The sequence below is a fragment of the Homo sapiens genome, chromosome 3 (assembly GCF_000001405.40).
Source record: "Homo sapiens chromosome 3, GRCh38.p14 Primary Assembly".
Classification (NCBI taxonomy): domain Eukaryota; kingdom Metazoa; phylum Chordata; class Mammalia; order Primates; family Hominidae; genus Homo; species Homo sapiens.
The window spans coordinates 176,317,064-176,332,899 of record NC_000003.12 but is presented as its reverse complement, the minus strand read 5'-3'; the positions used below and the strand labels follow the sequence as shown (position 1 = coordinate 176,332,899).

The window sequence follows — 15,836 nt, the reverse complement described above, 5'->3', positions numbered from 1 at the left end:
TTGGGCTAGACAAAGAAGGATTTTGATTGGATATATATAATATATCCAATCTCCATATATATATTGGAAAAATATATATATATATATATATGTATTTTTTGTCTATGCCCATTGGCATTTTTGGCTTACCAGTTTTTTTTTTTTTTTCAGCTCTAAGTCAATGATATACGAGCCAAAAACAAAACTTAGGGACTTACTACTGTGTTGTTTCTTGGGTCCCAGGGTCCTTAATTGGTCGCCTTCTTCTCTCTACCTTTGAGGATCTTCTTACGTTTGTTTACATATAATGTGTAGGGTTTTTAACTGTACATAGTAAGAGATATTTTTTAAAAATGCATTCAGAACTCCATCTTCTGGGAAGTGAACATTTTCTATAATGTTTTTAAAGTAGTACTCTTGAATATCCATGTGACTCCATAAACCAATTATAGGACCGTCTCAAAATAGATTGTGCTAAAAGATCCATGTCTAATCATTAGAATAACTGAAATAATTAGTCTATATGTGACCACTTTACATATTTCCATGTTTCAACTACTATCCAATTTAACGTTCAAGGCATGTGAATGAAAAAACAAGCAAACAAAAATAAATGTAATCCCCCAATACTAAGAATTAAGCTGTATAATAATATAAAGCTCCTGCTGCTTATTTTTTGACATAACTACCCTGATATATTTTATGTACATTTCCATCCTACATATTATGTGTCTTCTGTTTGTTTGGATATTTCATATCTTCTTTGTGATTCAGTCTCATTTTATCAACTAGTATTTCTTTTCACAATTTTTAATACATAGTTATTTAAATGAACCAATTTATGGGTTAATGTTTTCTCTGGCTTCTATGCATCAGTAGCCACCTTCTTGCCATGAATCTCTTTTACCTATAGGGAACGAATATTATAAGCTTCAGATCCAAAGTGGGAGTGGAAATCCTGCTCATAATCTTTATTAGATATGCAAACTTGAGCAAACCCTTTAGTGTTTCTGAACCTGTTTCCTTGTATATAAAATGGGGATAATAATTACCACATCATGATGTTGTATAGAGTAAGAAAAATGTGAAATCATTGAGCCAGTGCCCAGAAAATGCCAGATGCCAAATAAATGTTAGTTCTCTTCCTTTCTCTCCTTAGTAATTAAATAAATACATGTAAATGAAAAAAGCTTTCTTGTGTGGACAATCTTTACGTTAACAAATCTCCTATCTCTCCTCCATTACTTTATTACTATCAAAACACACTGGGGGAGGGGTGGGATCCCTACATTTGTATTTTATTTTCTTTTATTAGTTTCTGCATTTTACTCTCAGTTTTTGCTCCTCTTATAATAGCTTAATATCCAATATATCTGAAGTTTCTATTTTCTTCTTTTATGGAGGTAAGAAGATATGATTTGGTATTAATTAAATCCTACAATTTTATTATATCTATACTTTTCATACAAAGACAGTAATATGTAATATGGTAGAAAGAGCAAAGCATTTTAAGGATTAAAAATCTCTCTACATTTAGATAATAACTATGTCACATAAAGAAAACACCAAAAAGACTAAAAAGTTGTCAGTGGTTGTTTCTCTCTTCTCTAAACTCTCTACTGCCGTAGATGGGAAAAAGGAAGGAAGACTGTTAACATTTAAATATGAGAACATCGGAATTGATCCAAATAATTCTTCGTAACAATCGACATTTGTGCAAAGGTATTTTTATGAAAGTTAATAAAATTATTCATTTTTCACACTTTATGTACACCTGTGCATAAGGAAAAAATAAAATGAATTGATTTTACACATGAGTGAATTTCTTTCATTTATGACAATTAGTCATGAAGACTCTAGTGCCCTAGGATTATTTTATAAAATAGAAAGTTTTTTTTTTTGCTTGTTTGTTTTTTTTTTTTTTTTTCTGATGGCATAACACAACACACTAACACTTGGATAGATGAAAAGCAGAACTGTTTGCTACTTACTGCTTCAAATAAGAGAAGGCTATGAGGCAGGGCCACTCTGGGAGTTGTGCTAAGGACAAGGTCACAGCAAACTGGAGCCAGAAGTGGGCAGCTTATGAATGGCAAGTGGGGTGGGTTTAGCTACATCTACCCCATCCATGTAAGTTGGTGAATTTAATTAATTTTGTGGGCTGTAGGGATAGGAGGTGTTTTTACTTCTTTACTACCTCGCCCTGGGATGAATAGGGAAGGTTTATACTAACCTGGAAGTGTGAGAGCTGGATAATGGGAAGTTGTTCCTGTGTGAACTTATCAGCTGCTTAAAAAGGAGAACTGATCCACTTTTCACCAAGACCTAAAAACTGGCTCAAGAAAGTATTTTTGAAACTACATTACGAGGGCCCACCTAGTTCAGTAGCAGGGCATGCTGTACAATGATTAGTTGTGGTTTCTTGTTGAAAAATATCATTGTGTACATGATAGCATTTGGTAGAGATAACCATTTTGACATGACTATTCTAAATATAAAATAAGACTTTTAGGGTATATTTATCTATTGGTACTTGCAGTTGTTTGGGCTTTGTATGATAATAGATAATACATTTTTTGTTTATTTGCTTGTTTGTTTGTTTTGAGACAGAGTCTCACCCTGTCACCCAGGCTGGAATGCAGTGGTGTGATCTCGGCTCACTGCAACATCCACCTTCCGGGTGCAAGAGACTCCCCTGCCTCAGCCTCCTGAGTAGCTGGGACCATAGGCACGTGCCACCACGCCCAGCTAATTTTTGCATTTTTAGTAGAGACGGGGCTTTACCATGTTGGCCAGGCTGGTCTTGAACTAGTGGCCTCAGGCAATCCGCCTGCCTCGATCTCCCAAAGGGATTACTGGCGTGAGCCAATGTGCCTGGCCTGATAAAACATTTTTATATACTGATTAAAACACTAGTTTAATTTCTCCTCCTGCCCCGAAGATTAGCAGAAATATAATATGTAGTCATACCTTCTATAGAAAACTTAGTATAAGGAAAGCTTGTGAAGAAGTCAAGTGGGCTTTGCAGGACATTAGAAATGAAATTAAAAGTAAAATTAAAGTATTTTATTATTTGAATGCTTTCAATTGCTACAATTCTCCTTGACTCTCACTGAATAATGTTAGTTCTACATTGAATAGTTTCCACTTGTGACAAACCTCTTGATATGCTAAGTTTGAATATTGCCAAGACTTGCTTGTTTTTCTTAGTTTATTTTGACCATTTGAAAAATAAATTTAAATAAAAGGTCCTTACAGTGCTACATTTCTATTTGCGTGGCTTAAATGGTTGTATTTTGGAAAAGGTGGTTTGGTCATTTCAATTGTCTTTGTACATGAATCTGTTGACCGCATCATAACTCCAAGAGAATAATATACAATTGATTGAGAAGTTGGCCAGAGAAAACAGTTTGATTGCACAGGTGCCCTTGTCATTGGTGGGTGTATGTGTGACTTTTAATTATGTCTGTATAAATTTGCTGGATTAACCTTGCATTTCTGCTATTTTTTCAACTGTTAAATTTATAAAGCCTTGTATTGGCTATTGTTCGTTCAATTGCCTCAGACACAGTTTTTATGAAGGCCAAACTTGATGTGGGCCAAAATTGTTGATAGCTTCCAGAATGAAGACTCTTTTGTGTAGTTGAGAATTAGATGGCATGTAAAAGGTGAAGGAAAGTGATTTTACAAAAAGATGCTAAGGAAATGTTGAGAATAGATGCTAGTACTACTTTCTTTCTGTCTACATTGTTCCTTATTGCTCTTTGCCTTCTTTCATAGTATTTTCTAATAAATGCTAATGATAATAACAACAGTGGCAAATGCATTAGCATAAACTACTGTGTAATCTTATATAACTACATGTTATTTATCAGGTGGATTAAACACAGAATTTATAAAGATATATTTTCTATTGATTTTAGGAGGTGGAGATAAAATGGATTTCTTTAAAAAGCAAGATAAATCTGATATGCTGGGGGAAAAAAGTCTACGATACTAAAGCAAATGTTCTCTTTCCTTTGTCCAGGGAACTAAATTTTTCTGATGTAAAGCCAATTGCTGGAGAGAGATTCACTGGGGATCACTTCTGTTGAAGGAATAAGATGAATTTGTGAAAAATTTTGAAACTCTATTAGAGGATTTGGATGCAGTGTGCAGTGTCAGCTATTGTAACACTTTATAGTTGAAATGCACATAATATATATTACTGTTATAAAATGCCTTGCTGTGAATATTAAATAAAAACAGCCTAGATAAAGTGGAGAGGTTACTAAACAAGATATGTGGATTTACAGAACATCATTCTTGTTCCAAATATAATAAAGATATACAAACCAATATTTATTCCTTTAAATGTTATAAATACTTTCTAAGCACCTACATCTTTTACTTTCTATTTTAAAGACTATATTAATTTCCAGTGAGAACTGATACTGATTCCTTTTCTTTTGTGTAGGCCATGGATATTACCATATGATTAAGTGACTTTCTCTGTAAGATTGTAATGTTAATGAATAGGACTCTTTCTCTTTGAGTTATAAATGTCTCTGGTTGCCTTAACATGCATCATTCCTCCATGTATTTACATAGTGATTCAGTTAAGACTTTGACTTGTATAAACTTTATCCAGTTTGCTATCCAGTTATAGATCTTGAAGGGGAAAAAAAATCCCTGAAAATTTTCATCATTCTTCTAAGACTGAGTTTAAGAACAAATTTCTCCTGGTGTTTGTCTCCAAATTTCTGAAGCCTGATTTGCATTTTTTTTTTTTTTTTTGCATTACATTCACCACCTAATATATATTTCTTCCAACAGAGAACTGCCCAATAATCATTTGTTAGCTGTTTTTTAATGAAGATGGGTCACACCCATCTTTGGTGATAAATGTCGTAAGTTGCAAATAACTGGCACTTGGATCTTCCAACCTAACTTTTTGCAATATGTCAATGTTTTCACAAGCCATGAAATGAGCCTACTGAAATAGGAATCAAATTGCTGAAATCTATTAAGAAACTGATTTTGCTATTTTCATAGATTTTCAGTGAAGACAGAATGCTTTTAACTTAAGAGGCAACATAGTTTGGAGACAGAAGATGACCAAAGAATTTATTTTTTAAAATTGATACATAATATTTTACATATTTATGGGGGTATCTTTTGTTGCAAGCATAGAACATGTAATGTTCAAATCAAGGTATTTGGAGTACCCATCATCTTAAACATTGATCATTTCTATGTGTTGGGAACATTTCAAGTTTGTGACTGAGGAATTCCTTGGAATATGAAATCCAGAAGCCTATTAAAACCACAGCCACAGTAGGCTTTTATGTTTTAAACAAAATAACTAGAGTAGTCTGTGTGTTAGATTCACAATCCTGAGTGAAATTTACTCTGACAAGAAAATCACTGAGCAGGGTTAAATGATTTGCCATTATTTTAGAAGTGGAAAGAGATATTAAATACTTATGTAATACAAGTATAAAGAAATGTCCAAAAAATTTGACATGCACTTCTGTGTATATAAGAAATGGAGTGATAAGGGATTATAGAGACACACTGTCAGGCCTCTGAGCCCAAGCCAAGCCATCGCATCTCCTGTGACTTGCAGGTATACGCCCAGATGGCCTGAAGTAACTGAAGAATCACAAAAGAAGTGAAAATACCCTGCCCCACCTTAACTGATGACATTCCACCACAAAAGAAGTGTAAATAGCCGGTCCTTGCCTTAAGTGATGACATTACCTTGTGAAAGTCCTTTTCCTGGCTCATCCTGGCTCAAAAAGCACCCCCACTGAGCACCTTGCGACCCCCACTCCTGCTCGCCAGAGAACAAACCCCTTCTGACTGTAATTTTCCTTTACCTACCGAAATCCTATGAAACGGCCCTACCCTTATCTCCCTTCACTGACTCTCTTTTCAGACTCAGCCTGCCTGCACCCAGGTGAAATAAACAGCCATGTTGCTCACACAAAGCCTGTTTGGTGGTCTCTTCACATGGACGTGCATGAAATTTGGTGCCGTGACTCAGACTGGGGGACCTCCCTTCGGAGATCAATCCCCTGTCCTCCTGCTCTTTGCTCCGTGAGAAAGATCCACCTACGACCTCAGGTCCTCAGACCGACCAGCCCAAGAAACATCTCACCAATTTCAAATCCAGTAAGCGGCCTCTTTTCATTCTCTTCTCCGGCTTCCCTCACTATCCCTCAACCTCTTTCTCCTTTCAATCTTGGTGCCACACTTCAATCTCTCCCGTCTCTTAATTTCAATTCCTTTCATTTTCTGGTAGAGACAAAGGAGACAAGTTTTATCCGTGGACCCAAAACTCCAGCACCGGTTATGGAATGGGAAGGCAGCCTTCCCTTGGTGTTTAATCATTGCAGGGACACCTCTCTGATTATTCACTCACGTTTCAAAGGTGTCAGACCACGCAGGGACGCCTGCCTTGGTCCTTCACCTTTAGCAGCAAGTCCCGCTTTTCTGGGGAAGGGGCAAGTACCCCAACCCCTTCTCTCCTTGTCTCTACCCCTTCTCTGCTTTTCTGGAGGAGGGGAAGTACCCCTCAACCCCTTCTCCTTCACCCTTAGCGGCAAGTCCTGCTTTTCTGGGGGAGGGGCAAGTACCCCTCAACCCCTTCTCCTTCACCCTTAGCAGCAAGTTCCGCTTTTCTAGGGGGCAAGAACCCCCAATCCCTTATTTCTGCACCCCAACCTCTTATCTCTGTGCCCCAATTCCTTATTTCCATGCCCCAACCCTTTCTCTGATTTTCTGGAGGGCAAGAAACCCCTACCCCTTCTCTGTGTCTCTACTCTTTTCTCTGGGCTTGCCTCCTTCACTATGGGCAAGCTTCCACCTTCCATTCCTCCTTCTTCTCCCTTAGCCTATATTCTTAAGAACTTAAAACCTCTTCAACTCTCACCTGACCTAAAATCTAAGCATCTTATTTTCTTCTGTAATGCCGCTTGACCCCAATACAAACTCGACAGTAGTTCTGAATAGCCGGAAAATGGCACTTTCAATTTTTCCTTCCTACAAGATCTAAATAATTCTTGTCGTAAAAGGGGCAAATGGTCTGAGGTGCCTGACGTCCAGGCATTCTTTTACACATCAGTCCCTTCCTAGTCTCTGTGCCCAGTGCAACTCGTCCCAAATCTTCCTTCTTTCCCTCCTGCCTGTCCCCTCAGTCCCAACCCCAAGCATTGCTGAGTCTTTCTAATCTTCCTTTCCTACAGACCCATCTGACCTCTCCCCTCCTCGCCAGGCCAAGCTAGGTCCCAATTCTTCCTCAGCCTCCGCTCCTCCACCCTATAATCTTTTTATCACCTCCCCTCCTCACACCTGGTCCAGCTTACAGTTTCATTCTGTGACTAGCCCTCCCCCACCTGCCCAGCAATTTACTCTTAAAAAGGTGGCTGGAGCCACAGGCATAGTCAAGGTTAATGCTCCTTTTTCTTTATCCCAAATCAGAAGCATTTAGGCTCTTTTTTATCAAATATAAAAACCCAGCCCAGTTCATGGCTCCTTCGGCAGCAACCCTGAGATGCTTTACAGCCCTAGACCCTAAAAGGTCAAAAGGCCATCTTATTCTCAATATACATTTTATTACCAAATCTGCTCCCGACATTAAATAAAACTCCAAAAATTAGAATCTGGCCCTCAAACCCCACAACAGGACTTAATTAACCTCATCTTCAAGGTGTACAATAATAAAAAAAAAGTTGCAATTCCTTGCCTCCACTGTGAGACAAACCCCAGCCACATCTCCAGCACACAAGAACTTCCAAACGCCTGAACCGCAGCGGCCAGGCGTTCCTCCAGAACCTCCTCCCCCAGGAGCTTGCTGCAAGTGCCAGAAATCTGACCACCAGGCCAAGGAATGCCTTCAGCCCAGGATTCCTCCTAAGCCGTGTCCCATCTGTGTAGGACTCCACTGGAAATCGGACTGTTCAACTCACCTGGCAGCCACTCCCAGAGCCCCTGGAACTCTGGCCCAAGGCTCTCTGACTGACTCCTTCTTGGCTTAGCGGCTGAAGACTGATGCTGCCTGATCGCCTCGGAAGCCCCGTAGACCATCACGGATGCCGAGCTTTAGGTAACTCTCACAGCGGAAGGTAAGTCCGTCCCCTTCTTAATCAATACAGAGGCTACCCACTCCACATTACCTTCTTTTCAAGGGCCTGTTTCCCTTGCCTCCATAACTGTTGTGCATTTTGACAGCCAGGCTTCTAAACCTCTTAAAACTCCCCAACTCTGGTGCCAACTTAGACAATATTCTTTTATGCACTCTTTTTTAGTTATCCCCACCTGCCCAGTTCCCTTATTAGGCTGAGATATTTTAACCAAATTATCTGCTTCCCTGACTATTCCTGGACTATAGCTGCATCTCATTGCTGCCCTTCTTCCCAATCCAAAGCCTCCTTTGCATCCTCCTTTTGTATCCCCCCACCTTAACCCACAAGTATAAGACACCTCTACTCCCTCCTTGGCGACCGATCACGCACCTCTTACCATCTCATTAAAACCTAATCACCCTCACCCTGCTCAAAGCCAAGATCCCATCCCGCAGCACGCTTTAAAAAGATTAAAGCCTGTTATCACTCGCCTGCTACAGCATGGCCTTTTAAAGCCTATAGACTGTCCTTACAATTCCCCCATTTTACCTGTCCTAAAACCAGACAAGCCTTACAAGTTAGTTCAAGATCTGCGCCTTATCAACGAAATTGTTTCGCCCATCCACCCCGTGGTGCCAAACCCATATACTCTCCTATCCTCGATACCTGCCTCTACAACCCATTATTCTCAAACATGCTTTCTTTACTATTCCTTTGCACCCTTAATCCCAGCCTCTCTTGGCTTTCACTTGGACTGACCCTGACACCCATCAAGCTCAGCAAATTACCTAGGCTGTACTGCCGCAAAGCTTCACAGACAGCCCCCATTACTTCAGTCAAGCCCAAATTTCTTCCTCATCTGTTACCTATCTCGGCATAATTTTCATAAAAACACATGTGCTTTCCCTGCCAATCGTGTCCGACTGATCTCTCAAACCCCAGCACCTTCTACAAAACAACAACTCCTTTCCTTCCTAGCAATGGTTAGCACGGTCAGAATTCTTACACAAGAGCCAAGACCACACCCTGTAGCCTTTCTGTCCAAACAACTTGACCTTACTGTTTTAGCCTAGCCCTCATGTCTGCGTGCAGCAGCTGCCGCTGCTTTAATACTTTTAGAGGCCCTCAAAATCACAAACGATGCTCAACTCACTCTCTACAGTTCTCATAACTTCCAAAATCTATTTTCTTCCTCATACCTGACGCATATACTTTCTCCTTCCCAGCTCCTTCAGCTGTACTCACTCTTTGTTGAGTCTCCCACAATTACCGTTGTTCCTGGTCCAGACTTCAATCCGGCCTCCCACATTATTCCTGATACCACACCTGACCCCCATGACGGCATCTCTCTGATCTACCTGACATTCACCCATTTCCCCAAATTTCCTTATTTCCTGTTCCTCACCCTGATCACGCTTGATTTATTGATGGCAGTTCCACCAGGCCTAATCGCCACACACCAGCAAAGGCAGGCTATGCTATAGTACAAGCCCCTAGCCTGCCTCTTAGAACCTCTCATTTCCTTTCCATCGTGGAAATCTATCCTCAAGGAAATAACTTCTCCGTGTTCCATCTGCTATTCTACTACTCCTCAGGGATTATTCAGGCCCCCTCCCTTCCCTACACATCAAGCTCGAGGATTTGCCCCACCCAGGACTGGCAAATTAGCTTTACTCAACATGCCCTGAGTCAGATAACTAAAATACCTCTTAGTCTAGGTAGATACTTTCACTGGATAGGCAGAGGCCTTTCCTATAGGGTCTGAGAAGGCCACTGCAGTCATTTCTTCCCTTCTGTCAGACATAATTCCTCAGTTTAGCCTTCCCACCTCTATACAGTCTGATAACAGACCAGCCTTTATTAGTCAAATCAGCCAAGCAGTTTTTCAGGCTCTTAGTATTCGGTGAAACCCTTATATCCCTTACGGTCCTCCGTCTTCAAGAAAAGTAGAATGGACTAAAGGTCTTTTAAAAACACACCTCACCAAGCTCAGCCACCAACTTAAAAAGGACGGACAATACTTTTACCACTTTCCCTTCTCAGAATTCAGGCCTGTCCTCGGAATGCTACAGGGTACAGCCCATTTAAGCTCCTGTATAGACGCTCCTTTTTATTAGGCCCGAGTCTCATTCCAGACACCAGACCAACTTAGACTGTGCCCCCAAAAAAACTTGTCATCCCTACTATCTTCTGTCTAGTCATACTCCTATTCACCGTTCTCAACTACTCATACATGCCCTGCTCTTGTTTACACTGCCAGTTTACACTGTTTCTCCAAGCCATCACAGCTGATATCTCCTGGTGCTATCCCCAAACTGCCACTCTTAACACTTGAAGTAAATAAATAGTCTTTGCTGGCAGGACTATGCTGAATCTCCTTAGGCACTCTCTAATCAGATATCCTGAGTCGTCCCAATTCTTAGACCTTTTATACCTGTTTTTCTCCGTCTGTTATTCCATTCAGTTTCTCAGTTCATCCAAAACCGTATCCAGGCCATCACCAATCATTCTATACGACAAATGTTTCTTCTAACATCCTCACAATATCACCCCTTACCACAAGACCTCCTCTCAGCTTAATCTCTCCCACTCTAGGTTCCCACGCCACCCCTATTCCCACTCGAAGCAGCCCTGAAAAACATCGCCCATTCTCTCTCCATACCACCCCCCAAAAATTTTCGCTGCCCCAAGACTTCAACACTATTTTGTTTTATTTTTTCTTATTAATATAAGAAGGCAGGAATGTCAGGCCTCTGAGCCCAAGCCAAGCCATGGCATCTCCTGTGACTTGCAGGTATACGCCCAGATGGCCTGAACTAACTGAAGAATCACAAAAGAAGTGAAAATGCCCTGCCCCACCTTAACTGATGACATTCCACCACAAAAGAAGTGTAAATGGCCGGTCCTTGCCTTAAGTGATGACATTACCTTGTGAAAGTCCTTTTCCTGGCTCATCCTGGCTCAAAAAACACCCCCACTGAGCACCTTGCGACCCCCACTCCTGCTCGCCAGAGAACAAACCCCCTTTGACTGTAATTTTCCTTTACCTACCCAAATCCTATAAAACGGCCTTACCCTTATCTCCCTTCGCTGACTCTCTTTTCGGACTTAGCCCGCCTGCACCCAGGTGAAATAAACAGCCATGTTGCTCACACAAAGCCTGTTTGGTGGTCTCTTCACACGGACAGGCATGAAACACACTTTGTGTGTTTGGTGGAATTCTTGAAATATTACATTACATATGTGCTAATGAATACATTATTAAAATCTACATTTGCCCAAATATTTACCACTAATACATAGTAGAAAGAAAAGGAGTTACCACTGTGAATTGCCTACCTTCTTTGTGAAATGCAGTTTTTTGTGTGTGTTGAGATGTTTGACTTTATCTGATATCAAAGGAACATGTATATTTCTTCCAATTTTTACTTTAGATTGGGGGTACATGTGCTGGTTTGTTATCTGGGTATACTATGTGATGCTGAGGTTTGGGGTGTGTATTATCCCATCACCATGGTACTAAACATGGTACCCAGTAGTTTTTCAGCCCTTCACCCCTGGCCCCAGAGGTCCCCAGGTTCTGTTGTCGCTATCTTTATATTCCTGAGTACCCAATGTTCAGCTCCCACGTATAAGTGAGAACATGTGGTATTTGGTTTTCTGTTGCTGTTTTAATTTGCTTAGGATAATGGCCTCCAGCTGGATCCATGTTGCTGCAAAAGACATGATTTCATTCTTGTTTATGGCTCTGTAGTATTCAATGATGTATATATACCACATTTTCAACCCAGCGTGCCTTTGATGAGCACCTACCTTGATTCCATGTCTTTGCTACTGTGAATGGTGCTGCATTAAACATGCAAGTGCATGCGTCTTTCTGGTAGAATGATTTGTTTTTTTGGGTATATACTCAGTAATGGAGTTGCTGGATTAAATGGTAGTTCTAAGTTCCTTGTGAAATCTCCAAACTGCTTTCCATAGTGGATGAACTAATTTACATTCTTGCTAGCAGTGTATAAGCATTCCCTTTTCTCTGCAACCTTGCCAGTATCTGTTATTTTTGACTTTTTAATAATAGCCGTTCTGACTGATATGAGGTGGTATCTCACTGTGGTTTCAATTTGCATTTCTCTGATGATTAGTGATGTGGAGGATTTTTTTATGTTTCTTGACCAATTGTATATATCTTCTTTGGTGAAGTGTCTCTTCTTGTGTCTTTCATTCATTTTTTAATGGGATTATTTGTTTTTACTTGTTCAATTGTTTAAGTATCTTATGGATTTTGGATATTAGATCTTTGTCAGATGCATAGTTCGCAAATATTTTCTCTCATTCTATAGGTTGTCTGTTTATTCTGTTGATAGTTTCTTTTGCTATGCAGAAGCTCTTTAATTAGGTCCCAAAGGGACTTATTTTGGTGGAAGACTCTAAAGATGTGAAAATATTGCAAAATTAAATTTAAGTCAAGTAGTTTATTTGTTTTTATTTGCAGAACAAACACATAAATGGTGATTCAATGTTTGAAGTCCAATGCAATGATAAAATAATATAAAGCTTCTTCAAAATAGGCTGTAGTTGTAAAGGTATTCATCTTTACGTCTTTGATATTAGTTTATTATCAAGAAGCTATACGGTTAAATTAGAGGTGCATTTGTCTCCTGAGACTTGCCTGTTGAGTCACTCTGGAATCCGTGTTCTATCCAATTTTCAGAGTCATAAACGTTGCCGTATTAGTAATTTTGAGGGGGGTACAAAGCAGGTGTAATATAATGATTGAGATTAATGATCTGAAAAGGTAGGAATTACTAAAAAATTTCCCTTGTACACCATGCATGAACAACATATTGATTTGGTTTTAATGTTATTCTGCGTTTAAAATTCCATACCATCTTTTCAAATGTTAAAAGAATAAAATACAATATTAATTCTAAACACGAAACTCACTATTTCAAGTATAACTAATTATATTGGAACTGTGAAAGTAGTGTATTACAATAGTGTATTTCCAAAACTATCCAGGAACTATTTTGTTGACTCAATTAGAAATTACTTTTGTAGTTGAAAGAAAAATATAAATATAAAAATGTATTTTGAAAGACGTTTGTCCTTTTATAATGTAGAGCCAGCTGTTTCCAGGGTTGAAGTTATTAGAAAGTGAATAGATGCTTGCTTATACTAGTTTTCACTACCCATGGGAATCATTTAATGTGGTTTCTTTTCTTTTCTTTTCTCCTCCTTTTCTTTTCTTTTCTCCTCCCTCCCCTCCTCCTCCTCCTCCTTCTTCTTCTTCCTCTTCTTCTTCTTCTTTTAAATAGGGTCTCACTCTGTCATCCAGACTGTAATGCAACTTTTAGTAGTTCCCTACTTGCTGAGGTTTTACCTCAGTCTTGGCCTTTGATGAGTGACCAAAATCTTTGCTTAGGGCACTGAGAGAAGGAATAGTTTTATTCCCATGAGGTTGGCCATTTAAATTCATACTATATTTGGCTTAGATTGATTCTCAGTTATTGTCATAATAAGTTTCTTGTTTATATGATGCACAGCGAAATGAAAATGGTCAGTTGTTACTGTGGAATCAGATAGCTACTGAAAATTCAGGCATGCCAATAGGTTCCTTTCTTGGACCTTCTCTTTTTCTCAATTGATAAATCTCAGAGTGTCTTTTCAGTGCCTCCACATTTTCAGCTCGAACACAAATAAGTTTCCAGTATAATGTCCTATTGCGCTTCATCCCAACTTGCTTCCTCTTCTTCTTATAATTATGCTTTCTCCTATCTCCATGATTATTGATGACATCTCACTCTCCTGGATTATTTTCTTAACTGTTCTAACCAAATCTTGTAAGACTGAGATCAATTTTCACCTCTTTCCTAAAGCCATGCATGTCCTTCCCCAAACTTCAGCCTGAAATAGTATTTCCAGTTTATGAATAGTACTTCTAGCATTTATTCAGGAGTGAATTATGTCTATATCTTATATTATTTAAAATATCTTAAAAACTTTTACACCTACTTACACTTCTAGTTTAACACTTATCTAACTTTATTAGAGGGTGCAGCTTGAAGGCATACTTACTGTTATGGGCTGAATCGTGTTACCCAAAACTCATATTGAGGTCCTAACTCCTAGTATCTCCGAATGTGACTGTATTTGAAGATAAGCGTTGTCAAGAGGTAATTAAGTTAAAACAGTGTCGTTACATTGGGCCTTAACCAATATGACTAGTGTCTTTATGAGAAGGGGAAATTAGAAGGTAGACACACGCAGAGAAAAGACCATGTGAAGACACGGGAGAAGACCGCCATGCACTACCCAAGGAAAGAGACCTCAGAAGATACCAACCTTGATGATCTTGAACTTCTAGATCACACTCTGCAGCAAGAAGGTACTCAGTAGAATTTAATTATATTTAAATTGGTAATTGCTGAAAAATTTTCAACATCCACTCCTAACCCTAAAGTACACTTGTACTCTTGTGCTTTTTATTATGATTTTTAAGTTTTAAAATAATTGCAGAAGACTAATCTAATTGGGTTTCTTTTAAAATTTATTTTATAAAATTTTAGCATTAATTTAACCGGTCTTTAAAAAAAGTTTCTCCTTAATGATCCAGTTGCTAGTGAAACCCAGTCTTTATGGTATCCATAAATAGAAAATGTCTCAGAAATGTTATTAATGGCGAAGTGAGCAGTCTTCTCGGGAGTCCCTTAAATGATGAACACCTGTCTCATCATTAACTTAACAGGTTCTCATTATGATAGGTATCAATGAAATGATAATTGGTGGCATTCTTATCGTACCATTGAACTAGTGGGAATAGTAGAGTAACGAATAATTGACATTTACCATGTCCTAAGATTCTCTCTCTTAATAGAACCGAGACACAGAATATGTGAGAGTAACATTTATTTCTGATGCTGAAATTACTTGTCAACAATGAGTTAGGCAACTAGAAAAAAATTATATGCAAGTTATTAACACTTATACTAATAACTTATAACACTTATACTAATAACTAATAGCTACAAAATCAAAAGCAGAATGGAGAATATATCTGAAAACATTAATCCAGTTTGCCAGAGTAGTGTACACAAACGTCAGCACAGCTACGTGCAGAGACATAAAAGCATTTTTTATCTTGGTTGTGCTCTTCATTAATTTAAATTATATATCTTATCATTTCTAAAGAAGGTTTATATATGGATTGTGAATTTTTCCACTCTTACTTATATCAATTACATTTTTTCCAGTGGTATATTCTTTTAGGTATCACTGGAAAAAAAAATTAAATGTTCTAACTTTAAATATTCCCTCAACAAGTATTTACCAAGATTAGAATAGGTATTTGGGAAAATAAAATAAAATAAAATAAAATAACAACCTTGGTAACTCTTCCAGTCTATTACCCCACACTAAGACCACCTCCGAAGATGAGAAAGTCCAGATACAATTGTAAAGTAAGGGAAACTTGTTTTTGACATCTTCCCATTCCCAGGTTAAACATTTATTCTGCAATATTAACTTGAGATACCCAGTGGTCTTAGCTGTCACATGGCTGCTGAGCATCTCCCAATACCAGTTCTCCATCTGTACCTCTTCTGTGTATGCTATACTCCATACTTGCACTGCCCAGTGGGGGAGCCACTTATCACATGTGGCTATTTAAAGTTAAATTGGTTCACAGTAAATAAAATTTAAAATTAATTTTCTCGTTAACATTAGCCATACTTTAAAGTGTTTAATAGCTAT

At 38.7% G+C, this 15,836-nt stretch overlaps 5 annotated features.

The window, feature by feature from the left end:
- Positions 1,965 to 2,259: a silencer, noted in NCBI's record as "tiled region #8736; HepG2 Repressive non-DNase unmatched - State 24:Quies". NCBI's record gives its function as "represses a minimal TATA promoter and a strong SV40 promoter by Sharpr-MPRA in HepG2 cells {active_cell/tissue: HepG2}" and the evidence as "EXISTENCE:reporter gene assay evidence [ECO:0000049][PMID:27701403]".
- Positions 5,196 to 5,795: an enhancer, noted in NCBI's record as "OCT4-NANOG-H3K27ac hESC enhancer chr3:176044893-176045492 (GRCh37/hg19 assembly coordinates)". NCBI's record gives its function as "activates a minimal SCP1, AML or CMV promoter by ChIP-STARR-seq in naive and primed H9 embryonic stem cells {active_cell/tissue: H9 hESC(naive and primed)}" and the evidence as "EXISTENCE:reporter gene assay evidence [ECO:0000049][PMID:30033119]".
- Positions 5,796 to 6,395: an enhancer, noted in NCBI's record as "OCT4-NANOG-H3K27ac hESC enhancer chr3:176044293-176044892 (GRCh37/hg19 assembly coordinates)". NCBI's record gives its function as "activates a minimal SCP1, AML or CMV promoter by ChIP-STARR-seq in primed H9 embryonic stem cells {active_cell/tissue: H9 hESC(primed)}" and the evidence as "EXISTENCE:reporter gene assay evidence [ECO:0000049][PMID:30033119]".
- Positions 10,007 to 10,849: an enhancer, noted in NCBI's record as "OCT4-NANOG-H3K27ac hESC enhancer chr3:176039839-176040681 (GRCh37/hg19 assembly coordinates)". NCBI's record gives its function as "activates a minimal SCP1, AML or CMV promoter by ChIP-STARR-seq in primed H9 embryonic stem cells {active_cell/tissue: H9 hESC(primed)}" and the evidence as "EXISTENCE:reporter gene assay evidence [ECO:0000049][PMID:30033119]".
- Positions 10,850 to 11,693: an enhancer, noted in NCBI's record as "OCT4-NANOG-H3K27ac hESC enhancer chr3:176038995-176039838 (GRCh37/hg19 assembly coordinates)". NCBI's record gives its function as "activates a minimal SCP1, AML or CMV promoter by ChIP-STARR-seq in primed H9 embryonic stem cells {active_cell/tissue: H9 hESC(primed)}" and the evidence as "EXISTENCE:reporter gene assay evidence [ECO:0000049][PMID:30033119]".